Genomic DNA, 27,897 nt, shown 5'->3' on the forward strand with positions numbered 1-27,897 from the left:
GAGGCACAGCTTGCAGTGAGTTGAGATCATGCCACTGCACTCCAGCCTGGGCGACAGAGCAAAACTCCATCTCAAAAACAAACAAAACAAAAGTAAATACAGGCCAGTTGTGGTGGCTCACGCCTATAATCCCAGCACTTTGGGAGGCTGAGGCAGGTGGATCACCTGAGGTCAGGAGTTTGAGATCAGCCTGGCCAACACAGTGAAACCCTGTCTCCACTAAAAATACAAAAATTAGCCTGGTGTGGTGGTGCACGCCTGTAGTCCCACCTACTAGGGAGGCTGAGGCACAAGAATCACTTGAACCAGGGAGGCAGAGGTTGCAGTGAGCTGAGATTGCACCACTGCACTCCAGCCTGAGCGACAGAGTGAGACTCTGTCTAAAAAAAAAAAAAGTAAACACAGTTAAATTCACTCTAAACATGTGCAATAATGTACCAATAATGTAAACACTACTACAGCCAAGAAGATATAGAACATTTCCATCACCCCTAAAAAGCTCCCCCATGTCACTTTGTAGTTCTCATCCAAAACACCATGGGATATCAGTTTGTAAAGGTCTCTCTCTTCAAAGAGGGAAAGGGCAGGTTGGGTTTTATGCATCCCAGGGTCTGTATTACACAAGAAAGTCATATTCAGCAGGTTTTGGGGGAAAGCTGTACATATTTATGAGGGGGTTGACCACATGTGCAATGGGTAAACATACAGGTAACATACATCACCCATGTTTATTTTGGAGCAAGTTTGTGTCAGGCGTTTGAACCAGAGCAACTCCATCTTGTATAGGGGCTGGACAAAATGAGGCTGAGACTGGTACAGGAGTTAAGAAGAATTTACTTAGGCAGATAGTGAAGGCATGGAAGTCCTCCGTAAAGTTTTCCTTTCTAACGAAGAGCAGCCTGTAAAATCCAGCTGCAGACATAGATCCGACAGTTGTGCCACTCCTGTTGAAGATGGCGGCTCCATCTTCCCTTCTCTTTGTCGGCCACATGTACTGTAAGAAGCAGACAAGATGACACCAATCAACTGGAAAGCCCATTTGCATGATAAGATTAGGGTGGGGTGACCAGCCTTCCCCAAGATCATGCCACTGCACTCCAGCCTGGGGTGACAGAATGAGTGAGACCCTGTCTCAAAAAAAAAAAAAAAAAAAAATGCCAGGCACAGTGGCTCAGGCCTGTAATCCCAGCACTTTGGGAGGCCAAGGCGGGTGGATCACATGAGGTCAGGAGTTCAAGACCAGCCTGGCCAAGATGGTGCAACCCTGTCTCTACTAGAAATATAAAAATTAGCCAGATGCGGTGGCAGGCACCTGTAATCCCAGCTACTTGGGAGGCTGAGGCAGGAGAATGGCTTGAACCCAGGAGGCGGAGGTTGCAGTGAGCCGAGATCATGCCACTGCACTCTAGCCTGGGCAACAGGAGCAAGACTCCTCATAAAAATAAAGGCTCATGTTGCTGCGTTAGCTCATGTCTGTAATTCCAGCACTTTGCAAGGCCGAGGCAAGTGGATTGGTTGAGCCCAGGAGTTCAACACCAGCCTGGGCAACAAAGCAAAACCTTATCTCTACAAAACATACAAAAATTAGCCCGTTGTGGTGCTGTAGTCCCAGCTACTCAGGAGGCTGAGGTGGGAGGACCACTTGAGCCTGGGGGTGTCCAGGCTCTGGTCAGCTGTGATAGCATCACTGCACCTGGGCCGCAGAGTGAGACCCTGTCTCAAAAAAAAAAAAAATGAATAACCACCTAAAAATAATTTCTCAGAATGATTTTTAAAAAGGTTTTTTTTCTTTTTTCTTTTCTTTTCTTTTTTTTTTTTTTTGAGATGGAGTCTAAGTCTGTCGCCCAGGATGGAGTGCAGTGGTATGATCTTGGCTCACTGCAACCTCTGCCACCTGGGTTCAAGCAATTCTTCTGCGCCACCATACCCAGCTAATTTTTGTATTTTTAGTAGAGACGGGGTTTCACCCTGTTGACCAGGCTGGGCTCAACTCCTGACCTCAGGTGATCCACACATCTTGGCCTCCCAAAGTATTGGGATTGCCAGGTATGAGCCACTGTGCCCAGCCTGAAGTGTAACTTTTGAGGCTAAGTCATAAAAGGCATCATGGCTTCTTCCTCTCTCATGGATCATTCTTTCTGGGAGAAGTTTACCCACCAAGTCCTGAAGACATTGAAGCAACCCTATGGAAAGATCCATGCGGTAAGGAACTAGGCCCCCTGCCAACAGCCATGTGAGTGAGCCATTGAGGAAGTGGATCTCCCAGTGCTGGACAAGCCCTGGCTGACATGCTGATCACAGCCTCATGGGAGATACTGAGTTAGGATCACCACATGGAGGTGGTCCCTAATCCCTGATCAACAGAAAAGGTGGGATAATCAATGTCCATTGTTTTTTGTTTGTTTTTCTTGTTTTTTTTGTTTTGTTTTGCTTTTGATTTTGAAACAGAGTCTTGCTCTCTCACCTAGGCTGCAGTGCAGTAGCACTATCTCAGCTCACTGCAACCTCTGCCTCCCGGGTTCAAGCGATTCTCCTGCCTCAGCCTCCCGAGTAGCTGGGATTACAGGTGCCCACGACCACACCCAGCTAATTTTTATTTTTATTTTTTGTATTTTTAGTAGAGACGGGGTCTCACCATGTTGGCCAGGCTGGCCTCAAACTTGTGACCTCAGGTGATCCACCCACCTCGGCCTCCCAAAGTGCTGGGATTACAGGTGTGAGCCACTGTGCCCCATCTTTTTTTTTCTTTTGAGGCAGAGTCTTGCTCTGTCACCCAGGTCGGAGTGCAGTGGCGTGATCATGGCTCACTGCAGCCTCCAACTCCTGGGCCCAAGCGATCCTCCCATCTCAGCCTCTTGAGTAGCTGGGACTACAGGCATGTGATACCACACCCAGCTAATTTTCTTTTTCTTTTTTTTTTTTTTGAGACGGAGTCTCACTCTGTCACCCAGGCTGGAGTGCAGTGGCGCAATCTCAGCTCACTGCAAGCTCTGCCTCCCGGGTTCTTGCCATTCTCCTGCCTCAGCCTCCTGAGTAGCTGGGACTACAGGCGCCTGCCACCACACCCGGCTAATTTTTTGTATTTTTAGTAGAGATGGGGTTTCACCGTGTTAGCCAGGATGGTCTCGATCTCCTGACCTGTGATCCGCCCACCTTGGCCTCCCAAAGTGCTGTGATTATAGGCGTGAGCCACTGCACCTCCCCACTAATTTTCTTTTAAGAGGAGGGGTCTCACTGTGTTTCCCAGGCTGGTCTTGAATTCCTGGCCTCAAGTTATCCTCCCGCCTCGCCCTCCCTAAGTGTTAGGGTTACAGACATTACCCACCATGCCTGGACAATAAGTGTTTATTGATTTAATCCACCAAGTTTTTGACTAATTTGTTAACAGCATTAGGTAAATAACATATCCACAAATTATCCTGTGAGCAGAGCACTTTAGATATGAATATGATATCTGTATCTCTTTGAATGCTCATGGATAGTTCTTTGCTTCTGTATCATTTCTTGGCTACAGTTCAGATAACTGAGTTTATATGACATGATCTCTGAATCCATAAACTGTAATTGTGTCATCTCAGTGCCCCAAATATGACAGTCATGGCAGTGTGCACATTTTGGACACTGTTCTGTGTTGGTTAAGGTCCAGTTTCTGCCAGGTGTGGTGGCTCACACCTGTAATCCCAGCACTTTGGGAGGCTGAGGTAGGCAGATCACTTGAGGTCAGGCGTTAGAGACCAGCCTCACCAACATGATGAAACCTTGTCTCTGCTAAAAATACAAAAATTAGTCAGGCGTAGTAGCATGCGCCTGCAATCCCAGCTACTCCAGAGGCTGAGGCAGGAGAATTGCTTGAACCCGAGAGGCAGATATTGCAGTAAGCCGAGATCGCACCACTGCACTCCAGCCTGGTGAGAGCGCCAGACTCCCTCTCAAAAAAAAAAAAGGTTCAGTTTCTGTTGTTTTGCTATGCACCCAGGACCAGGACTTGGTCATCTCACTCATGAGTAACCAGCTTCTGTGAAAACCAGCTGATGTTGAAACACACACATTCACCTACAAAACCACGGTGTTATTTTACAGCAAAGGGAGTAGTATGTTCTTAAGACCCTTAATCCCTCCATAAATGGTTAGTCATCTGTAAAATAGTGGTAACTGTTTCCACTTCATGGGGTTTTGTAAGAATTACACAACTAATACTAATAAAGTTCCTAGTGCCTCACACACTGTACCCAGTAACTACTAATATTATTATCCCCTAGGATTATTATTACTCCTAGTATTGAAGACATGTTACTTTAATCACCTGAGTGCCTTTCTCTCCATTGCTCTGTATTTTTATTTTATTTATTTATTTATTTTTTTGAGACAGAGTCTCGCTCTGTCACCCATGCCGGAATGCAGTGGCAGGATCTTGGCTCACAGCAACCTCCACCCAGATTCAAGTGATTCTCCTGCCTCAGCCTCCTGAGTAGCTGCAACTATAGGCGCGGGCCGCCACACCCAGCTAATTTTTGTATTTTTAGTAGAGGCGGGGTTTTGCCATGTTGGCCATGCTGGTCTTGAAGTCCTGGCCTCAGGTGATCCGACCACCTCGGCCTCCCAAAGTGCTGGGATTACAGGTGTAAGCCACAGCGCCTGGCCAGAGACCAGGTCTCTTCAAACAAAAAAACAAACAAAACCCCTAAATATTGACAATGTCATCTGTGGATTCTACCCAGGAAATAACCCACATTAAAATGATGGTTTGTGAGGGTCGGCAGGGGTATAGTGTATTTCATCCAAAAACATAACAAATGTGTGATCCAATTATAATAGCAATTATGGGAAAAGCTGTCGGTGACTGATAAGGAGTTATAAAAGAAAAGACTCAAATTTACACAGGCTTTTCAAAAGATCATAATCCTGCTATTGGAGGTGGAAGTCTTCTAGACACTAACAAGGTGGAGAGAAATCTCCATGTGGAGGCCCAGATTAAACATCTCCCATCAAAGTGGAACTCGTCAAATGTCCTAAGACACCTAAGGCCGTCCCCAGGCGCCCTGACAATAAAAGGTAACCAGAACACGAGAGAAATTACTCTGGGAGTACCTTTCACATTCAAGGTGTGCAGTAGGAAATTTATAAATTGGCATCTGGCTCGTCCATTCATTTCTCATTGGTGTGGTTCACGTGTGCTTGCAAAGGTCAGACTTCTGCCCTTCGAATGTCCTCTCTCCCTCTCCCACAGAAAACACCCACATGTGGGTCCTTGTTTAAAGCAGAAAGTCCTAGTCCTTAGCTTTTAGTGAGGTGGATGTCATCAGGCCTGGGTTGGCATCCTGTTTTTTACCATGGCAAGTCATATGCGCCCTTAAGCATTCCTGCTTTTGGTCCAAGCTTCCTGCGTGGGAATACTGCGGTCCTCCTTTCAGGCAGCTGTGAATGACAAACGGTCGCTGGCTGCCGTGACACCCATTGTCCCGCGAGAGTGCCCTAGCTGGGCCCCAGTGCACTCGAGGCGGTCCCTGCTCGGGTGCCCCTCCCACAGGCAGGCGCCGTTGCCGACCAAACGCCCAGGTTCACCCAACGCCAGAGGCTCGTCCTCAATTCCCGCGAGGCCCCCGGAGGTGCTGGGGTCCCTGCAGGGCCGGGCCACCTGCCGTGGAGCTCAGGCCGCGCCAGAATCGGATCCGGGAAGCTGCGCGCCATGAGCAGCTCCCTGCGGCCGGGCCCCAGCCGCTGGCGGCGGGCGGCCAGCATCGTCCTGGCGGCTGGCTGGTCGCGCCCGGAGACCGCCACCCCGCCGTCGCGCCCGCCGCCGGCCGAGGGCTTCCGGCTGCTGCTGCTGCAGCGCTCCCCGCACCAAGGCTTCATGCCGGGCGCGCACGTCTTCTCCGGCGGAGTGCTGGATGCGGCCGACCGCTCGGCGGACTGGCTGGGCCTCTTCGCGCCGCACCACGGGCCGCCGCGCTTCGGCCTGGGCCCGGCGCCATTCAGCCGCACCGCTTTCCCGTCGCTGCCCGACACCGATGACCACAAGACCGACAACACTGGGACGCTGCCTGAGGACGTAGCCTTCCGCATCTGCGCCGTGCGGGAGGCCTTTGAGGAGGCGGGCGTGCTGCTGCTGCGGCCCAGGACTTCCCCACCAGGCCCAGCACCCGGGCCTGGCCTCGCCCTGGAGCCACCGCCGGGCCTGGCCTCCTGGCGCGACCGCGTGCGCCAGGACCCGCGCCACTTCCTGCGGCTGTGCGCCCACCTCGACTGCACACCCGACATCTGGGCGCTGCACAACTGGAGCGCCTGGCTCACCCCTTTCTTGCGGGGCACCACTCGCCGCTTTGACACGGCCTTCTTCCTGTGCTGCCTGCGCGAGCCGCCGCCCGTCTACCCCGACTTGGCGGAGGTGGTGGGCTACCAGGTAAGGCCTGCTCAGGGCCTTGCTGCGGACCGCCAGGACGTGAGAGGGAGGACCCCTCCCAGCGGCCCAGGCCCCCAAGGGACCCCCGCATAGGCCAAGCCCAGAGAGATTAAGCAGCAAGGAACGCTTAGACGGGCTGGAAACTCTCACCCCTGTAGACCAAAGCCATGCTCTTGGTGAAGTGCTCTCTGCTTTCCTAGGCTTTGGGGTCTCAAGGCCTGGAGCCTGTCTCTCCACGTGGTTCCTCCAGCGTGGCCACTGTGTAAGCACTTGTACATGTGTAGACATAGTACATCTCCACAGCCGTTTAATTTGGTTTTCTTGGAGAACAGACTTAATATGATCCAGTCTTCCTATTTTTATTTATTTTTGGTACAGATGGGGGTCTTGTCTCTCTGTGTTGCACACCCAGGCTCGTCTCCAGCTCCTGGTGTGTCCAGAATTGGTTCCTTCCAGTGGGTTCTTGGTCTCGCTGACTTTAAGAATAAAGCCGCGGACCCTCGAAGTGAGTGTTACAGTTCTTAAAGATGGTGTGTCCAGTTTCTTCCTTCAGATGTTCAGATGTGTCTGGAGTTTCTTCCTTCTGGTAGGTTCGTGGTCTCGCTGACTTCAGGATTGAAGCCGCAGACCTTCGCAGTGAGTGTTACAGCTCTTAAAGGTGGTGCGTCAGGAGTTGTTTGTTCCTCTTGGTGGGTTTGTGGTCTCGCTGGCTTCAGGAGCGAAGCTGCAGACATTTGTGGTCAGTGTTACAGCTTATAAAGGTAGTGCGGACCCAAGGAGTGAGCAGCAGCAAGATTTATTGCAAAGAGCAAAAGAACAAACCTCCCACAGCGGAAGGGGATCAGAGCAGGTTGGGTGCTGGTGGCTGGGTGGCCAGCTTTTATTCCCTTATTTGGCCCTGCCCATGTCCTGCTGATTGGTCCATTTTGCAGAGTGCTGATTGGTCCATTTTTACAGAGTGCGGATTGGTGCGTTTACAAATCTTTAGCTAGACAGAGCACTGATTGGTGCGTTTTTACATAGTACTGATTGGTGCATTTACAAACCTTTAGCTAGACACAGAGCACTGATTGGTGCGTTTTTACAGAGTGCTGATTGGTGCATTTACAAATCTTTAGCTAGACAGAAAAGTTCTCCAAGTCCCCACTGGACCCAGGAAGTCCAGGGGCTTCACCTCTCAATCCCGCCTCTAAACAGGGCACCCCATCTGCTGTTGGGAATTGGGCAATGACTGCTCTAGCTACTTCCTGCTGGACAGGGGCAAAGAAGGGGCCCTGCAGTTGTAGTGTCCTCCAGAGGGGAACTCTCTAGGCCAGTGAAAGGGCCAGTGGGTCGGTCCAGGGGTCCTCGGTAGAAGTTGTTAGTTGAGCTCATTTGGGTTTCCGTTTGTAAGACCATCTGTAGTTTGATGGCCTTGATTCTAGAGGAAACAAATTTGACAAGGAGGTTAAAAATACAGGGCCCGAAGGCGAGTAATAGTAAAACGGCTGTCACAGGATGTAGAAAGGGGAGAAGCCATGTTGCCCAACTCCAGAGGTTGGTATAAGAGTTTGAAAGGCGTTGTCTGATTTCAGAAACCTTTTCCTGTAAATGCCGGGCGGCATCTTGCACTATCCCTGACTTGTTAGTGTAAAAACAACACTCTTCCCCTAAGGTGCAAAGTCCTCCTTTCTCAGCAGTGAGGAGGTCTAGGCCTCGGGGGTTTTGGAGAGTCACTGCTGCCAGAGTCTATTTGGGATTGTAGTTACTATCCTTACTGAATAGATTTTGTTATTTCTTGCAAACTGTCTGAGAAATACTTTGAGAGTGTGTGGTAGTAAGATAATGAAGTAGATAAACTGGCTATTCCGGTTCCTGTAGCAGTGGCCATTTCTAGCCCTATAAGTAGGGGTATCAGTTGTATGGCCCTGTGCTGATGGACTTGAGCTTTGAGGGGCACTGATAGGGTCTGATGTCCATAAGATTAGAAGTTAGGATAATATGTGTTACACTGTTAACTTTTAGCAAACTTTACTTTTGTTGAAAACCTTAAGTTTGGGATTTCAATTATTCTTTGCTATTAATAAGACCTCGTTCAGTCCATATTCACTTAAAATTGGTATAGATGGCTCCTTCCTGATTCTGTAAGTACTTTAAGGTTTGGCTGAGTGCAAACAGCTTGCACATTTGAGCAGACCAATTATTAGGCAATTTTCCTAACTCTGCTTCTGTAAGAGTTTCCTTATCACGTACTGAGTACCCATTGTGTCTTTTTCCTTAATCGCCCAGGAGGAAACATCTATCATCCTGTCCTGAAGGGGGTTCCTCCTATGTCTGGTCAGACCTTCAGATTTAGATCCCCTGTTAGGAACCTGCTGGGTTAAGGATTTTTGATAGGAAGGCTACAGGTTGTCAGTGGCCTCAGTGCTTTTGGGCTATGCCCTTGTTTACACTGACAACAAGGTGGTATTGGAGTGTTACAGGGTTACAGAGAAGACCTTCAATTATCAATTGTAGGTTTTATTTTTCATTTTTATTTTTTTGGAGATGGAGTCTTGCCCTGTCACCCAGGCTGGAGTGCAGTGGCATGATCTAGGCTCACCGCAACCTCTGCTTCCCGGGTTCAAGCAATTCTCCTGCCTCAGCCTCTGGAGTAGCTGGAATTACAGGCGCCCGCCACCACACCTGGCTAATTTTTGTATTTTTAGTAGAGACGGGGTTTCACCATGTTGGCCAAGTTGGTCTCAAACTCCTGACCTCATGATCTGCCCGCCTTGGCCTCCCAAAGTGCTGGGATTACAGGCATGAATTATATATTTTAAATTTACCCTGGCTTTTAAAGGAATAGGGTGCACTGTTTTTTCTTTACTACTTCTATCTCTTTCTCTCTGACTCCTTTGTCTCTTCCTCTCTTTCCTTCTGTCTTTGACTTTGCCTCTTTCTCTCTGCTGGTCTTTCCCTGCCTCTGCCAGCCGCTTATGCTGCCGTTCTCCCTTCTCCTTCCCCTTTTTGATGGCTTCGGCAGTGTAAGACTGCCACCTCCTTGGGTTTTTGCATTGAGTGCAATAACTCCATGATTTCCTTGTGGTATTTAATGGGGGTTCCCCCAGAGGTTAGGAACGCTCTTTCTTTACATATTGCAGCATGGGCATGTAGGATTAGATAAGCATACTTGCTATCTGTATACACGTTTTTTCTTTTTTCCTTTCCCAGTTCTAAGGCTCGGGTAAGTGCCACTAGTTCTGCTAACTGGGTGCTGGTCCCTGGGGGAAGAGGTTTACTTTCAAGTACGGTTACATCACTAACTGTGGCATAACCTGCCCTTCGTATCCCATTTTCCACAAATGAACTTCCATCGGTATATAGGTTAAGGTCAGGATTAGCTAACGGGACTTCTAAGAGATCCTTTCAGGCGGCATAAGTCTGGACTACTACCTGTTGGCAGCCATGCTTGACCCGCTCCCTATCCTCTGGGAGAAAAGTGGCAGGGCTGAGGGCCACACATGTATGCACTTGAAGCACTGGTCACTCAAGGAGTAGTGCCTGGTATCTAAGCAGGTGGTTTTCTGATAGCCATAAACTTCCTTTGGCACCTAGTTTGCCATTTACATCATGAGTAGTCCAGACAGTGAGATCCTTTCCTTGTATTATTTTGATAGCCTCTGACACTAAGACAGCCACTGCCACAACTACCCCTAAACAGTTAGTCTAGCCTTTTGCTACTGTATCAGTTTCCTTAGGTATGCCACTGGTTGTGGAGTTGTCCCATGAGTCTGAGTAAGGACCCCAAGAGCTATTCCTGCTCTCTCTGTGACGTTTAAAGAAAAGTTTCGTCCTGTGGGAAGGCTTAAGGCTAGAGCTTGAGTTTGTTCCTTCCAATGCCCAGACTTCAGGGTTGATTCCCTCCCCAAGCAGGGGACAACAAATGGGTAACTTGTTCCCCATATTCATGTAGATAATAGCTCCAGCTTTGGCTAATATATCCCTCCCTAATAAGGGTGTGGGACTTTCAGGCATAACAAGAAAGGCATGTGAAAGGAGCAAAGTCTCCCAATTACAACTGAGGAGGTGGGAGAAATACCTGGTTACAGCCTGTCCCAGGATTCCTCGGATGGTAACAGACCTTGAGGACAGCTCCAAGACAGGAAATTAACACTGAGAAAGCCACGCCAGTGTCCAGGAGGAAGTCAATTTCCTGGCCCTCAATGGTTATACATACCCAGGACTCAGTGAGAGTGATGACATGAGCTGGTGCTTTCCCTGGGCACCCTCAGTCTTGTTGCATCATCTGGTTGGTGGCTTCTGTCCCAGAGAACCTTTGTCCTCTGGGGCAGTGTGTCTTCCAGTGATTGCCTCGGCATAGTGGACATGGGCGAGGGGGCAGCTTGTTTCTCATAGGACAATCTTTTTTTTAAAAAGTGTCCTTGTAAACCACACTGATAACAAGCCCTACCAGGTGATTGGCCTGCTCCATTCTCTGTCCCCTCTGAACCACCAAGGTTTGTTTGTCTGAGGGCCATGACTAAGTCTGCGGCCTTTCTATTATCTCACTTTTACTTTTGGGCCTGTCCATCTTGGTCCCTATTATAGAACACTGAGGTTGCCAGGTTTAATAATGCTTCCAGAGTTTGTTCAGGGCCCAGGGCTCGCTTTTGGAGCTTTCTCCTGATATCCACAGATGATTGGGTAATAAACTTGTCTTTTAGGATCAATTGACCCTCAAGTGAGTCGGGTGACAGGGGAGTGTATTTTCTTAAGGCCTCCCGTAGCTGCTCGTGGAAGGCAGAAGCATTTTCTTCCTTTCCCTGAGTTATGGTGGACATCATTGAATAATTCATGGGCTTTTTCCTAATACTCCTTAGTCCTTCTAGAACACAAGTCAGCAGATGTTTACGACTCCAGTCCCCATGATCTGAGTCGAGGTCCCAGTGGGGATCCATACTGACTTACTGACATACGGCTTGCTGACTAGTAAGGAATTTGTCCCTTTCTTCAACTGTCATTCTATCATTTACTGGACTAAGATACCAGGTATCTCCAAACTCTTGGGCTGCAGCTAAAGCCACATTCTTTTCATTAAAGGCCAGGGTTTGATCTAACACTAGCATGACATCTCTCCAAGTGAGATAGAAGGTTTGCCCTCGACCCTGTAGGACATCTGTATACCTATCAAGATCATCTGAAAGCTTCCCAAGGTCTGCCTTGATCTGCTTAAAATCAGAGAGGGAGAAGGGAACATGTACCTAGGTTGGGCCAAATTCCGCTCCCCCTACAGCTTGAAGGGGACATAACCGATAGCCCGGGAAGGGGGCGTTTGTGATCCTTTGGAGATTTCTTTGCTTATTTCCTTCTGGGCAGCGGACATTAGAGGAGGATTATCATTAATAGGAAGGGGAGCTATAGGGAGGCTAGGATATGGAGGTAAGCTGAGAGGTCCTCCTGTGGGATGTAAATTGCAAGCTTTGCATACTTGGGTATTCTCCTTCAATGAAAAGAAAACTTAGACATAAGGTATTTCACTCCATTTGCCTTCCCTCTTACAGAAAAGGTCAGGCTGCAGGATAGTACTGTAGTTTATACTTCCCTCAGGTGGCCATTTTTCCCCATCAGAGAGAGAAATTGGGGCCAGGCTGTAGTATAGAAAAAAATGAGCCACCTCTTTTTCAGGGTTTGTGGGTCAAATTGGTCCCAGTGGCTTAGGATGCATTTCAAGGGTGAGCCTGTTGATGCCTGAGTGTTTCCCATCTGAAAGACAAAACCGCCTGTGGTTTTGGTTTGTTTGTTTCTCCCCCTGCCCAAGAACCTGCAACGGTCCCTGGACCCTGCTGATCGGAATAGTTGTGCTCACCAATGCAGCAGCAGAAACACCTCTTGCCCAAGAACCTGCAACAGTCCCCGGACCCTGCTGATTGGAGTAGTTGTGCTCACCAACGCAGCAGCAGAAACAACCCCTGCCCAAGAACCCGCAACAGTCCCTGGACCCTGCTGATCAGAATGGTTGTGCTCACTGACACAGCAGCAGAAACACTAGTTCTCCTAGACCACAAGGAGGAATGAGGAAGGTCAGATTTCGTGGCCCTTACCAACACATTCTCGAAAACCTGCGCCCTTTCCTGTCCTCCTAGACCTCAAAGAGGACTGAGAAAAATCAGATTTAGTGGCCCTTACTGATGCATTCTTGGAAAACTGTTGGAGTCCTAAGCATTCTCCTGTTAGTATTGGGACCTTACCCATGTCCTATAAAGATGTTATGCCCCCAAAATGAAGTGGAGGGCCATACCCTGAGGGAGGGAAGGGATCTCCAGAGTTGGAAGAGTGAAGCCTTTTATCCCCAGTTATATGAATAGGAAGGATACAATTTCTGAGGCTCCCGATATCCTAGTTTCAGGAATAGCTTTTGTTAGGCCTGCTTTTCTGAGGAGGGATTCTAAAATTCCAGATAATCCCCCCTACGATGGGGCTTTGAGCAAAAACTGTGTCTTTCTGATTGGTGAGCCCGGGTGTCTAAAGAAGGTAACAGAGTCCTGAAGTTTATCCTAGAAATCATTCTTACAGGAGAAACTAGAAAAGCACCAGAGATGGAGTGGTTTTTAGAAGTGGGACTAGCCTCAAAGAAAGGCGAGAGGAAGTTTGTCTGACAGGCATTAGGACCCAGGAGGCAAGGGTCAGGATAGATAGGATAGATGGGTGAGTCTCGCCTGTGCGACGTGACTTTCAGAGTTCCATTCATGGCTGCAGGGTCAACCAACTTGTTGTCGGGACCCCGGAGCTGAATGGCTTTCCTCGCTGTCGACCCTCGGCTCAGCCCAGAAGTACAGGAAAAGCAGAAGCTGGTTCCAGGCAAACCAACGCTCCCCACTCCGAAGAGTCGGGGGTTGTTAGCCCTTTCCCAGAAAGCCTGACACCCGTGTCTTTAGTTCAGCAGCCACACTAGTCGCTTTTAACTGGCCAACATGTCCCCATATTTAGCTCTCAAATTCTAAGGAAAAATAGGACAGAATAGCAAGCGAAAGGGGTCCAAAGGCACTCACCGCTTAGTGATAGGTAATAGTCCCTTCGTGGTCACCAAAATGTGTCCAGAATTGGTTCCTTCTGGTGGGTTCTTGGTTTCGCTGACTTCAAGAATGAAGCTGCAGACCCTTGCGGTGAGTGTTACAGTTCTTAAAGATGGTGTGTCTGGAGTTTGTTCCTTCAGATATTCAGATGTGTCCGGAGTTTCTTTCGTTGGGTTCGTGGTCTCACTGACTTTAGGAGTGAAGCCACAGACCTTTGCAGTGAGTGTTACAGCTCTTAAAGGTGGCATGTCTGGAGTTGTTTGTTCCTCCTGGTGCGTTCCTGGTCTCGCTGGCTTGGAGTGAAGCTGCAGACCTTCGCGGTGAGTGTTACAGCTCATAAAGGTAGTGTAAACCCAAAGAGTGAGCAGCAGCAAGATTTATTGCGAAGAGCAAAAGAACAGAGCTTCCACAGCATGGAAAGGGACCCGAGCGGGTTGCTGCTGCTGGCTTGGGTGGCCAGCTTTTATTCCCTTATTTGGCCCTGCCCACATCCTGCTGATTGGTCCATTTTACAGAGCGCTGATTGGTCCATTTTACAGAGTGCTGAGTGGTCCATTTTACACAGTGCTGATTGGTCCGTTTTTACAGAGTGCTAATTGGTGTATTTACAAACCTTTAGCTAGACACAGAGTGCTGATTGGTGCGTTTTTACAGAGTACTGATTGGTGCGTTTACAAACCTTGAGCTAGACACAGAGTGCTGATTGGTGCATTTTTACAGAGTGCTGATTGGTGCATTTACAAACCTTTAGCTAGACAGAAAAGTTCTCCAAGTCCCCACTCGACCCAGGAAGTCCAGCTGGCTTCACCTCTCACTGGGCTGAAGTGATTCTCGTCTCAGCTTCCCGGGTAGCTGGGCCCACAGGCACCTGCAACCACGCTTGGCTAATTGTTTTATTTTTTGTAGAGACCGGATCTCACTATGTTGCTCAGGGAGGTCTTGAACTCCTGGCCTCAAGCGACCGTCCAGCTTCAGCCTCCCAAAGTCTTGGGGATTATTGGCATAAGCTACTGTGCCTGGCCAGTTTCAGTCTTTTAAAATTTATTGGCCAGTACAGTGACTGATACCTATAATCTCAGCATTTTGGGAGAAGAAGGCCAGAGGATCAATTGAGCTCAAGAACTCAAGACCTGCCTGGACTGTAACATACTAAGACCTCATATCTAGAAAAAATTTTAAAACTTAGCTGGGCATGGTGGTACATGCCTGTGGTTCCTGTTACTGAGGAAGCTGAGGTGAGAGGATCCCTTGAGCCTGGGAGGTTGAGGCTGCAGTGAGCTATGATCACACCACTGCACTTCAGCCTGGACAACAGAGTCAGGCCCTTTCTCAAAAAAAAAAAAAAATTATTGAGACTTGTTTTATGGCCATGAATATGTTCTATCTTGGTGAATGTTCCCTTTGCACCTAAGAAGAATATGTATTCTGCTATTTGTTGGTATTTTGGTAAAAATGTAAAATTAGGTTGAGTTGTTCATAGCATCTTGCAGGTTTTTTTTTTTTTTTTTTTTTTTTGAAACAGAGTCTTGCTCTGTCACCCAGGCTGGAATGCAGTGGTCTGATCTTGGCTCACTGAAACCTCTGCCTCCCAGGTTCAAGCGATTCTCCTTCCTCAGTCTCCCAAGCAGCTGGGATTACGGGCGCCTGCCACCATGCCTAGCTAATTTTTGTATTTTTAGTAGGGACGGGTTTCACTGGGTTGGTCAGGCCAACTCCTGACCTCAGGTGATCCACCTGTCTGGGCCTCCCAAAGTGCTGGGATTACAGGCGTGAGCCACTGTGCCTGGCCAGTCTTGCAAGTCTTCTATATCATTTCCTTGTTTCATCAGGTGCTGAGAGAGGAATGTGGAAATCTTCAACTAATAATTGTGGAGTTGTCTTTTTCACCTTTTAGTTCTATCAGATTTGGCTTCATGTATTTTGAAGCTCCCATGTAAGGTACTGACTGTATCTACATTTAGGACTTTTAAAAGTTCATGGATTAACTCTTTGATGATTATGAAATATCCTTCTTTATTCCTGGTTATAATCTTTATTCTGAAATCTGAAGTTTACTCTGTTTGATATTAATATAGCCCCTCTGACTTTCTTTTGATTCATGTTAGTATATTTTTCTATCCTTTTAAACTATCTGTGTCTTTATTATTTAAAGTGTGTTTCTGGCTGGGTGCAGTGGCTTACACCTATAATCCCAACACTTTGGGAGGCCAAGGAGGGCTGATCACCTGAGTTCAGGAGTTTGAGACCAGCCCAGCAACATAGCGAAACCCCATCTATATTAAAAATACAAAAATTATCCAGGTGTGCGGGGGTCTGTCCTGCAGACCCTGACCCAATGATGGATGAATAACGTGCACTGATACAGATACTCTGCTTTGCCAGTCTGACTGAGCATCAGGGCTACTTACAGACTCCCAGGAGAGTGCTGTAAAAAGTTGCGACCTGGGCCTTGACCAGCCAGCCAGACTCATGTTTATTCAGTAAAGATTAATTGACAAAGGCTTGAGTCAACACCATTAGAGGGTAATTGACCTTGCAGACATCCCAGATAGAAAGCAATTAAGCACCTGCGGTAGATCCAAGGTTAGTCTTAGGACCACATGAGTAAACAAGCTAGTTAGATAAACTCCCCACATTCCTTTGTATCTACTTTAATTTATTTAATTAAAGGTAAGCGGACTAGGCTGCCTTCAGCCAGATCTGTTACCGAAGTTATGCAACTCTCAGGCCTTCCAAGAGGGTTTCTGGCTATTATAACTAAATTTTTTCCCACCAGCCTGACTGAACCCTCACACAGGTGGAGACAGGAGAATTGCTTGAACCCAGGAGGCAGCGGTAGCAGTGAGCCAAGATCATGCCACTGCACTCCAGCCTGGGTGACAGAGCGAGACTCCATCTCCAAAAAGAGAAAAAAAAGTGTGTTTCTTGCAGGCAGCATATAGTCTTGCTTTTTATCCAATATAAAAACTTTTGCTTTTTAGTTGGAGTGTTTATTTAAATTTGTTATTGTCAATAAGGTTAGATTCATATCTACCATCTTACTGCTCATTTTTTGTTCCCATCTATTTGTACTGTTTTTCTTATGACTGTTTTATTTCCATTATTAACTTATTAACTATGTCTCTTTGTAGTTGCTCTAAAATTTGCAATATACATTTTTCATTTCGTTTATAGAGTTAGAACCTTGCAGCAATATACTTATTTGTTCCCTCCTGTCCTTTATGCTATTGTTGTCATACATTTGACTTTTATTATAAACTCTACAATACACTGTGATTATTTTTGCTTTAGACCATCAATTTTTTTTTTTGAGACAGTGTTTCACTCTTGTTGCCCAGGTTAGAGTGCAGTGGCATGATCTTGGCTCACTGCAACCTCCACCTCCTGGGTTCAAGTGATTCTCCTGCCTCAGCTTCCCCAGTAGCTGGGATTGTAGGCATACGCCACCACGCCCAGCTGATTTTGTATTTTTAGGAGAAACGGGTTTTCTCCGTGTTGGTCAGGCTGCTGTCGAACTCCCAACCTCAGGTAATCCGCACACCTCGGCCTCCCAAAGTGCTGGGATTACAGGCATCAGCCACCACACCCAGCCTAGACCATCAGTCTTAATGAGAAAAAATGTCTTATGTTTACCTGCATATTTACTATTTTTTTATTGAGATGGAGTTTCATTCTTGTTCCCCAGGCTGCAGTGCAATGGTGCCATCTCAGCTCACCACAGCCTCTGCCTTCTGGGTTCAAGTGATTCTCCTGCCTCAGCCTCCCAGGTAGCTAGGATTACAGGCATGCACCCACCATGGCCAGCCAATTTTGTATTTTCAGTAGAGATGGGGTTTCTCCATGTTGGTCAGGCTGGTCTTGAACTCCTGACCTCAGGTGATCCACCTGCCTCAGCCTCCCAAAATGTTGAGATCACAGGTGTGGGCCACTGTGCCCAGCCTTTTTTTTTTTTTTTTTTTTTTTTTTTTTTTTGAGACGGAGTCTCACTCTGTCACCCAGGCTGGAGTGCAGTGGCATGATCTTGGCTCACTACAACCTCCGCCTCTCTGGTTCAAGTGATTCTCCTGCCTCAGCCTCCCGAGTAGCTGAGATTACAGGCACCCACCACCATGCCCAGCTACTTTTTGTACTTTTAGTAGAGATGAGTTTTCACCATGTTGGCCAGGCTGATCTCAAACTCCTGACCTCAGGTGATCCACCCAGCTGGGCCTCCCAAAGTGCTGGGATCACAGGCATGAGCCACCATGCCCAGCCACATATTTACTATTTTTAGCACTCTTTATTCCTTTGTGTAGCTCTAAATCTATCTCTGGTATCCTTCTGCCTAAAGAAGTTTCTCTAATATTTCTTGTAGTATAGATCCTGTGACAATGAATCCTCTAACTTTTGCTTGCTTGAAAATAACTATTTTGCCTTTGTTTTTGAAAGATACTTTGGCTAGGTATAAAATTCTAGGTTGATAGGTTTTTTTCCTTATGTACCTAAAAATATTGCTCCCTTATTTGCTAGTTTGCATAAATTTCTTAGGAGAGGTCTGTTACCACTCTTGCAGGTAACTTTTTTTTTTTTTTTAGACAGAGTCTTGCTCTGCCGCCCAGGCTGGAGTGCAATGGCACGATCTTGGCTCACTGCAACCTCTGCCTCCCAGATTCAAGCAATTCTCCTGCCTCAGCCTCCTGAGTAGCTGGGATTACAGGCGCATGCCACCATGCCCAGCTAAGTTTTGCATTTTTAGTAGAGACGGGGTTTCGCCATGTTGGTCAGGCTGGTCTCGAACTCCTGACCTTGTGATCCGCCTGCCTTGGCCTCCCAAAGTACTGGGATTACAGGCGTGAGCCACCATGCCCAGCCTCTTGCAGGTAATATTTTTTATTTCTTTCATCATGTTGATCTTTTCCTTTGTATCTTTACAGCATTGTTTTTAATGCCCTTTTCTGCTAACTTAATCCTTGCTATAATTTCTGGGTCTGTTTCTGTTGACTTATTTTTTTTCTAGTTTTGGATGACGTTTTCCCACTTCATCATGTCTTGCAATTTTTATTGAATGTTGGATATTGTGACTTTATGTTGTTGAGTGCTGAATCTTGTCACATTCCTTAAAGAGTATTGGACTTTGGGCCGGGCATGGTGGTTCACACCTATAATCCCAGCACTTTGGGAGGCCAAGGCGGGTAGATCACCTGAGGTCAGAAGTTCTAGACCAGCCTGGCCAACATGGTGAAACCCCGTCTCAAGTAAAAATACAAAAATTAGCTGGGCATGGTGGCAGGCACCTGTAATCCCAGCTACTTGGGGGGCCAAGGCAGAAGAATCGGTTGAACCTGGGAGGCAGAGATGCAGTGAGCCGAGATCACGCCATCGCACTCCAGCCTGGGGGACAAGAGCAAGACTTCATCTCAAAAAAAAAAAAAAAAAAAAAAGTATTGGAACTTGGCTGGGTGCAGTGACTCACGCCTGTAACTCCAGCACTTTGGGAGGCCAAGGTGGGTGGATCACGAGGTCAGCAGTTCAAGACCAGCCTTGCCAACATTGTGAAACCCCATTTCTACTAAAAATACCAAAAAAATTAGCCAGTCATGGTGGTGGGCGCCTATAGTTCTAGCTACTCTGGAGGCTGAAGCAGGAGAATCGCTTGAACCCAGGAGGCAGAGGTTGCAGTGAGATGAGATCACAGCACTGCACTCCAGCCTGGGTGACAGAGCGAGACTCTGTCTCAAAAAAAAAAAAGAAAAACAAAAAGAGAGTATTGGACATTTCCTAGCAAGCAGTTAAGTGATTGCAAATTACCTTAATTGTCTTGAGGTTTAATTTTAAATGATTTTAAGTGATTTTAGCATGGGCCTATAGTAGCCTTTATTCTAGAGCTAATTTAGCTGCACTTTTTTTTTTTTTTTGAGACATACTTTCACTCTGCCACCCAGGCTGGAGTGCAGTGGCGTGGTCTTGGCTCACTGCAACCTCCTCCTCCCTGGTTCAGGTGATTCTCATGCCTTAGCCTCCTGAGTAGCTGGGATTGCAGGCACATGCCACCATGCCTGGCTAATTTTTGTATTTTTAGTAGAGTCCGAGTTTCACCATGTTGGCCAGGTTGGTCTTGAACTCCTGACCTCAGGTGATCCACCCACCTCTGCCTCCCAAAGTGCTGGGATTACAGGCATGAGCCACTGCACCTGGTCATTAGCTGCACTTCTAAATGTATGACCCTCATAAGGTCTACTTGAGTGCTGCTTGTGTTCAACATGATCTCTCCACTGTGATTGGAAGGAATTCGAATAATCCTTGGCCCCAGGTGACCTCTGGGAGTTTAATCTTAAGGCTCTCAGGTAATTGTTCTTTCTTCAGAAATCATTCTCTCCTTATGTATACAATGGTGAATAAAGTAAAATACTAATAATAGGAAAAAAAAGAGGCATCATTCTTTCCTGGTCTCATGTGGTTTCACCTTATGCATACATAGATAAGTGTTGAGCAAAGATTCAAGTGCACCCTACACAGATTTCTAGAGCTCTACTCTGTAGGTCTTTCCTCTCAGGTACAGCTTTATCCCTGGTTTCTCTTTCCATGGTTTGAGTTACCCTCAGTCAACCAAGGTCTGAAAATATTAAGATATTTGGAGAGAGAGAGAGAGACCACATTCACCAACTTTTACTACACGAATTGTTATCATTGTTCTAGTTTATTATAAGTTATTGTTGGCTGAGCACGGTGGCTCATGCCTGTAATCCCAACCCCTTGGGGGCCGAGGCGGGCAGATTACCTGAGGTCGGGAGTTCGAGACCAGCCTGACCAACAGGAATAAACCCCGTCTCTACTAAAAATACAAAATTAGCCAGGTGTAGTGGCAAATGCCTGTAATCCCAGCTACTCGGGAGGCTGAGACAGGAAAATCGCTTGAACCCAGGAGGTGGAGTTTGCAGTGAGCAGAGATCACGCCATTGCACTCCAGCCTGGGTAACAAAAGCGAAACTCCATCTCAAAATGATAATAATAATAAGTTATTGTTAATATCTTACTGGGCCTAATTCATCAATTAAATTTTATCATAGGTGTGTATGTGTAGGAAGAGCATAGTTTGTATAAGGCTTAGCACTTCCTTGATTTCATGCGTCCACTAGGGATCTGGGAAAGTATTCCTCTTGCATAAGGGGAGACTACTGTATGCTGCTTCCCAAATTCTGCTGTATGGGCTTCCCAAAATTCAAGCTGTGTCTCAAGTCAGTGAAAATCCCAGGCTCTGATTAGTCTCTTGCTCCTTGGGTTGCAGTCTGGGAATTCCCTTTAAGCAGTAACCCTGGCCATGGTAGGACTCACCTCCCATTGTAGCCTCCCAGGTGGCTGTGATTACAGGCGTGAGCCACTGCACTCAGCAGGAAAGCATTGCATTTTGTACAATGCTTTACTAGTAAGAAGTAATCAGTAAGTGATAAGGTATTGTAACCTGTGGTCTGGACTCACCTGAACAGGTTGGATTAAGTGGGTTGATGCCTGCCATTTAACCCTTTGTCTTCGTTGTTATCACTGAACTCATACGGTTGCCTTGGAAATAACATAGAGAGATTGGGTGGTCCTTTGAGGCCCAGGGCTCTGTTTTTTAAATGCCATTTTGGCCACCTGCAGAATGATTAGGGGACTCACTGAACTCATAGATTGCTGGACACCATACCAGGGCCCTGGGAATGTGAAGGCTTCACAGACTTCTCAGTCAATGTTTAAGCATGTACGAGCTTGCAAACCTTTGACCTACAGTCATCTAAAGCAGAAATCAATTCCAAATCCCAGGGCTTGGGGGCGAGAATCAGTTTCTCCTAGGTGTATAAGTGGATATTTAGTAAACCAAGTAAAGAACAACCTTATGGCCAGGCGCGGTGGCTCACACCTGTAATCCCAGCACTTTGGGAGGCCGAGGTGGGTGGATCACGAGGTCAGGATTTCAAGACCAGCCTGGCCAAGATGGTGAAATGCCATCTCTACTAAAGATACAAAAATTAGGCCGGGCGCGGTGGCTCACGCCTGTAATCCCAGCACTTTGAGAGGCCGAGGCGGGTGGATCACAAAGTCAGGAGATCGAGACCATCCTGGTGAACACGGTGAAACCCCGTCTCTACTAAAAATACAAAAAATTAGCCGGGCGTGGTGGCAGGCACCTGTAGTCCCAGCTACTCGGGAGGCTGAGGCAGGAGAATGGCATGAACCCAGGAGGCAGAGCTTGCAGTGAGCTGAGATCACACCACTGCAGTCCAGCCTGGGAGACAGAGCAAGACTCCGTTTCAAAAAAAAAAAAAAGATACAAAAATTAGCCACGATGGTGGCGGGTGCCTGTAGTTCCAGCTACTTGGGAGGCTGAGGCAGAGAATTGCTTGAACCCGGGAAGTAGAGGTTGCAGTGAGCCAAGATTGCGCTACTGCACTCCAGCCTGGGCGACAGAGAGTACTCGGTCAAAAAAAAAAAAAAAATCACGACTGTAATCCCAGCACTTTGGGAGGCCGAGGCGGGTGGATCATGGGGTCAGGAGATCGAGACCATCCTGGCTAACACAGTGAGACCCCGTCTCTACTGAAAATACAAAAAATTAGCCGGGTGTGGTGGTGGGCGCCTGTAGTCCCAGTTACTTGGGAGGCTGAGGCAGGAGAATGGCGTGAACCCAGGAGGTGGAGCTTGCAGTGAGCCGAGATCGGGCCACTGCACTCCAGCCTGGGTGACAGAGCGAGACTCCGTCTCAAAAAAAAAAAAAAAGAACAACCTTTGAGGTTATTCCATATCCATTGAATCAGCTCTTTTTATCTAAATGTCTATGGAAAGAAGGCTCAGGAAGGAGAGGAGGTTGTAGAATGAAGCCACTGAAGTTTTCCGGGCAAATACTGCCTGGCTGAAACCCTACCAAGTTATTACTCTCTTGACTGTAGGCTGAGTCATGCCAGGTGACTTCCTGAAAGCTGCTGTTGCTCCTGATGCTTCACCGCCGTTGTACCATGTGGCACACATCACCACATCACAAAGCATTTTGGTTGCTGAAGTCCCCATAGGGCCTAGGAGAGCTTTGTGGTGTCCATCATTATATCCTCAGGATCTAGCCAAGTACCCATTTCCCAGAGGAATGAACAGGCACCAAATTCTCCATCTACTGTGATGAGTTTACCCTTCAGAGTCTTTCTTCTTTCAGCAGGGACCGGAACCACCTTACCCTCTCTGCATCTCCCACCTCTTATGCTGAACAGCTCTCCCAGGTCAAGCCTCAGGGGTCTGCCCTGGTTTATTTACTAGTTCTGAGGATCAGTGTCCTAATAAGCAACCTCTTAAGAGGATCAACCCAGCTTTCTTCACTGAATCTTTTCATGTTGTCTTTGAGGGATCTCACAGGGCGCATTAATGAATTCATTTTACACATTCAGTTCTACCTTAGGTACTGGTCTGACTGTCTCAAGTCTCACATTGTCTATGGCATAAACCTTAAGAAACCCTGCCTTTGTCTTTCACAGTGGTCATCTCCATCAGAGGCAACTGAAAGTTTCTTATCAAAAGAAATTTGGTTGCCACCCCCACAGTTCTACGAAGTGAGAAGACTTGCAAACTTTGCCTCTCTCTCTGACTTGCACAAATTTTGTTTGGGTCGTGCATTAGAAGGACTGGAAAGGTGGCTGCCGATCATCTTGTTAACTGCTGATGGGATGGTCCATCTTTTACCAGGTAAACCAGTGAAGCATCGGTGCTTTTGTTAGTATTCACATTCAGTGCCCTGGGCTGCATGGCTGTATTGCCCAACGTAGAGACAGGAATTACAGTCTGTGTTTTGTAATCTACAGGGTATTAGCTAAGTAAGATCAAAGCCTATAAAATATCCATATTATTATAACCAGAAATTCTGCATAATGTCATATACATACACATACATTTATATTAATATATTTCCTAGACATTGACAAAGGTCTTTCTCATATAATTTCTCACTTTTTTTTTTTTTTTCTGAGACAGTTTCCCTCTGTCACCCAGGCTGGAGTGCAGTGGCACAATCTTGGCTCACTGCAACCTCCACCTCCCAGGTTCAAGCAATTCTCTGCCTCAGCCTCCCAAGAAGCTGGGATTACAGGTGCCCACCACTGTGCCCGGCTAATCTTTGTATTTTTTTTTTAGTAGATACGGGGTTTCACCATCTTGGCCAGGCTGGTCTTGAACTCTTGACCTTGTGATCCACCCGCCTTGGCCTCCCAAAGTGCTGGGATTACAGTCATGAGCCACCATGCCTGGCTGATTTCTCACTTTTTTGCATTTTAAGTTTGAATTACGAGAACTCGTAAGTTGTCATCTAATTTGAATTAGGGAGCTTTTTTTTTGAGACAGAGTTTTGCTCTTGTCACCCAGGCTGGAGTGCAATCTGGGCTCACTGCAACCTTTGCCTCCTGGGTTCAAGCGATACTTCTGCCTCAGCCTCCCGAGTAGCTGGAATTACAGGCATGTGCCACCACGCCTGGCTAATTTTTTTGTATTATTAGTAGAGACAGGGTTTCACCATGTTGGCCAGGCTGGTCTTGAACTCCTGACCTCAGGTGATCCGCCCGCCTCAGCCTCCCCAAATTCTGGGATTATAGGCATGAGCCACTGTGCCCAGCCAACTTTGTTTTTTTTTTTCAGTTGGACATAATTTCAATTGAAATTATGAATTATGAAATTATGAAGAAAATAAAGTAAAATGTTAACTCTATCTCAACTGAAAATACAAAAAAAAAAAAAAAAAACAAATTAGCCAGGCATGGTGGCACACACCTGTAATCCCAGCTGCTCAGGAGGCTGAGGCAGGAGAATCACTTGAACCCAGGAGGTAGAGGTTGCAGTGAGCCAAGATCATGCCACTGCACTCTAACCTGGGCGACAGAGCGACACTCTCTGTCAAAAACAAAACAAAACAAAAGGCTGGGCGCGGTGGCTCACACGTGTAATCTCAGCACTTTGGGAGGCTGAGGCGGGTGGATCACCTAAGGGCGAGAGTTCGAGACCGGCCTGACCAACATGGAGAAATCCCGTCTCTACTAATAATACAAAATTAGCTGGGCATGGGGGCGCATGCCTATAATCCCAGCTACTTGGGAGGCTGAGGCAGGAGAATCACTTGAACCCAGGAGGCAGAGGTTGTGGTGAGCTGAGATTGCGCCATTGCACTCCAGCCTGGGCAACAAGAGCGAAACTCCATCTCAAAAAAAAAAAAGATTTATTACTCAACCTACAGTGGGAAAATTTAGCAGTTTTGATGGAATTTCTCTAAATTAACCTGAAGATGATAAGAACAGCCCACTTTGAAACATCAAAAGTATATGAATATCAAGGCCAATCTTAATATCAGTATTGAATAGAATAAAGAGAGTCATGAACTGGTATAATAGTTACAGTTCACAGTGGAAACATACCAGTCACAGATGTTTATGGGCCCAAAGAAAACTCTTGGCTGGGGTGTTGTAAGGGGATATTAAAAACACAAGAAAGAGGACAGGCGCAGTAGTTCACGCCTGTAATCCCAGCACTTTGGGAGGCCGAGGTGGGTGAATCATTTGAGGTCAGGAGTTTGAGACCAGCCTGGTAAACATGGCGAAACCTGTCTCTACTAACAATACAAAAATTAACCAGGCGTGGTGGCAGACACCTGTGATCCCAGTTACTCGGGAGGCTGAGGCATGAGAATTGCTTGAGCCCAAGAGGTGGAGGTTGCAATGAGCCGAGATCGCGCCACTGCACTCTAGCCTGGGCAACAGAGTGAGACTCCATCTCAAAAAACAGATAAAAAAACACAATAAAGAAATTGAGGTAAGCTCATAGAATTAGATTAGTTAACAACTATCTCAGTTCCAAACATATTAAATAGATCAAAATAAATACTGATTTAACAACTATCTCAGTTCCAAACATATGAAATAGATAAAAATACTGATTTGTATTTCATTAGTATATTGGAGTGATTTATAAAATAATACTCGATGGAATTAAAATTTTATACTTTCTGCCATGGTGAAAAATAATTTTGTATTTAAAAATAAAATCAGATTTTTTCCTTTTTCAGGTGATGAGCTATATTTAGAAGATTCAGACTTTTTGGAAAATCTTATGTCTACTGAAAAAAAGACTGAGGAAATCATGAAGGAAGGCAAGCAGTTTCACCGGATAGTGACATACCATCGCCACCTTTATGATATCCACGTGACTGTTCAGCCAAAGTATAAACACGTTTATCCTAAGAACTCTGTAGTAAGAAAAAGCCATTTGTAGGGTGCTTAAGCTTGTTTGTAAAATGGCCTACTTGAAGTCCTCATGAATAATGAGGGTTGACTTTCATTTGCTTGAAACTTAAGGAAGTTTGTGCCTATAAAAGTTACTGCAATTCAGTATTTCTTTATTTTTTTCGAGACAGAGTCTCAATCTGTCGCCCAGGCTGGAGTGCAGTGGCATGATATAGGCTCACTGGAAGCTCTGCCTCAGGGGTTCATGCCATTCTCCTGCCTCAGCCTCCCGAGTAGCTGGGACTACAGGCGCCCGCCACCATGCCCAGCTAATTTTTTTTTGTATTTTTAGTAGAGACGGGTTTTCACCGTGTTAGCCAGGATGGTCTCAATCTCTTGACCTCGTGATACGCCCGCCTTGGCCTCCCAAAGTGCTGGGATTACAGGTGTGGGCCACCACACCCAGCCTTTTTTTTTTTTTTTTTTTTTTTTTTTGAGACAGAGTGTCTCACTCTTGCCCAGAACCCAGGCTGGAGTGCAGTGGCCCAATCTCGGCTCACTGCAACCTCCACCTCCCAGGTTCCAGCGATTCTCATGCCTCAGCCTCCTGAGTAGCTGGGACTATAGGCATGCACCACCATGCCCCACTAAATTTTGTATTTTTAGTAGAAACAGAGTTTCACCATGTTGGCCAGGCTGGTCTCGATCTCCTGACCTCATGATCTGCCCGCCTTGGCCTCCCAAAGTGTGGGATTACAGGCGTGAGCCACTGTGCCCAGCATGGTGTTTCTTATATCAGGTGTTTTAGGGAGCTCGCTTGCTTATTCCATTCTTTAATCCTTACAGTGTGCCACACGTATAAAGTTTATAACGTATTAATGATCTCATTACCCAAAACCAGAACATAATTTCACAAGGGTTCCTACTTCTGTATTGTTTTATTATCTCAAAAATTTAAATAACATGTTCTGCTGTTTATTGTTCTTGTTATCCACTGTATTAGCACCTTCCCTGATGTGCTTTGGAGGTTGATCAATGAATTTCTGAGACTTTCTGCTGGAATTACTTTAAGGGTGTCTTATTAGATGATGAAAAGTTGGCTGAGACACCCTTCAAGTGACCATGTCATTGTTTTCTTGCTATGTCTTTAGCTTAATGATTAAGATACAATTCTTTTTAAAATCAAATGGTATTAGTTATTATGTTTCCCAAATTAGAAATCGATTTTAGTTAACATTTTATTTTATTTTATTCTATTTTATTTATTTTTGAGACAGAGTCTCGCTCTGTTGCCCAGGCTGGAGTACAATGGCGCAATCTCAGCTCACTCCAATCTCCGCCTCCCAGGTTCAAGCGATTTTTCTGCCTCAGCCTCCCGAGTAGCTGGGATTACAGGCACCCACTACCATGCCCAGCTAATCTTTGTATTTTTAGTAGAGACGGGGTTTCACCATGTTGGCCAGTCCGGTCTCGAACTTCTGACCTGAGGTGATCTGCCCACCTTGGCCTCACAAAGTGCTGAGATTACAGGCTTGAGCCACCACGCCTGGCCTAGTTAGCATTTTAAAGAAACACAAAGCCATAACAAAAACCATCATTGTTTGTATTCCACACTGTTAATGAATGTAAAGAGGTTAGAAATGTAGTGTTTGATTAATGATGTTTATTTTTACTGTATTTAATATGAGTAATTTTTCATCATCTTTCAAGAGGAATAATGTTTATTGATTAAAGGTGAGAAATGATAGTTAAGACACCAATTCCATGTCCAGATCTTTGACTGTATCATGCATTGTACAATTGATTTCATATTTTATGAAATGCCTTAATTTTCCTACTATAACATAAAGACAATGATGAATAAAGTTTATGTGTATGATTAAATCCAGATTAGAGAACTATATCTAGCACAGCAGTCCTCAGCCTGGGCACTTTTGCCCTAGGGAACATTTGGCTATGTCTGGAAACATTTTTGGTTGTTGAAACTGTGGGCAGAGTGGGTGGGTGGGGGAGTATGCTACTACCATCTAGTAGTAGGGAGAGGCCAGGGATGCAACTGAACAGCCTGCAATGCGCAGTCTCACCCATAGCAAAGAATTACCTGACCAAGGATGAGACACCCAATCTAAAGTAAAATCTTTTTTTTTTTAAATAAATGGTTCCAATATGTAAATTTTGAGAACCACAGATACTATTATTCTGTCTGCCTTTTGAATCTACAAAAATGGGAAATTACGTCCAATTGGAAAAAAAAAAAAAGTTG

General features: G+C 46.4%; 1 protein-coding gene and 2 long non-coding RNA genes across 3 annotated transcripts, besides 2 other annotated features; 1 reads left to right on the forward strand and 2 right to left on the reverse strand.

The window, feature by feature from the left end:
- Positions 1-816: 816 nt before the first annotated feature.
- On the reverse strand, positions 817-6,022 carry NUDT19-DT (NUDT19 divergent transcript). Its single transcript, NR_186320.1, has 2 exons — positions 5,089-6,022; positions 817-994 (listed from the first exon to the last, which is right to left on the reverse strand). It is a non-coding gene; the product is annotated as an NUDT19 divergent transcript (long non-coding RNA).
- Positions 5,510-5,919: a silencer, noted in NCBI's record as "silent region_10486". NCBI's record gives its function as "represses an Ori minimal core promoter by ATAC-STARR-seq in GM12878 lymphoblastoid cells {active_cell/tissue: GM12878}" and the evidence as "EXISTENCE:reporter gene assay evidence [ECO:0000049][PMID:35858748]".
- NUDT19 (nudix hydrolase 19) lies at positions 5,547-27,518 on the forward strand. The gene is made up of 3 exons (NM_001105570.2): positions 5,547-6,400; positions 22,911-23,118; positions 25,478-27,518. Exons 1-3 carry the CDS (start codon positions 5,687-5,689, stop codon positions 25,681-25,683), a joined length of 1,128 nt encoding a protein of 375 aa, NP_001099040.1. The 5' UTR covers positions 5,547-5,686; the 3' UTR covers positions 25,684-27,518.
- Positions 6,691-13,873, reverse strand: LOC124904690 (uncharacterized). The gene is made up of 2 exons (XR_007067226.1): positions 13,411-13,873; positions 6,691-7,820 (listed from the first exon to the last, which is right to left on the reverse strand). It is a non-coding gene; the product is annotated as an uncharacterized LOC124904690 (long non-coding RNA).
- Positions 12,884-14,083: an enhancer, noted in NCBI's record as "BRD4-independent group 4 enhancer chr19:33190064-33191263 (GRCh37/hg19 assembly coordinates)". NCBI's record gives its function as "activates an origin of replication core promoter dependent on BRD2, P300/CBP, MED14 and CDK7 cofactors, and independent of BRD4, by STARR-seq in HCT116 cells {active_cell/tissue: HCT116}" and the evidence as "EXISTENCE:reporter gene assay evidence [ECO:0000049][PMID:35650434]".
- Positions 27,519-27,897: the final 379 nt, after the last annotated feature.

The sequence above is a fragment of the Homo sapiens genome, chromosome 19, assembly GCF_000001405.40.
Source record: "Homo sapiens chromosome 19, GRCh38.p14 Primary Assembly".
NCBI lineage: Eukaryota > Metazoa > Chordata > Mammalia > Primates > Hominidae > Homo > Homo sapiens.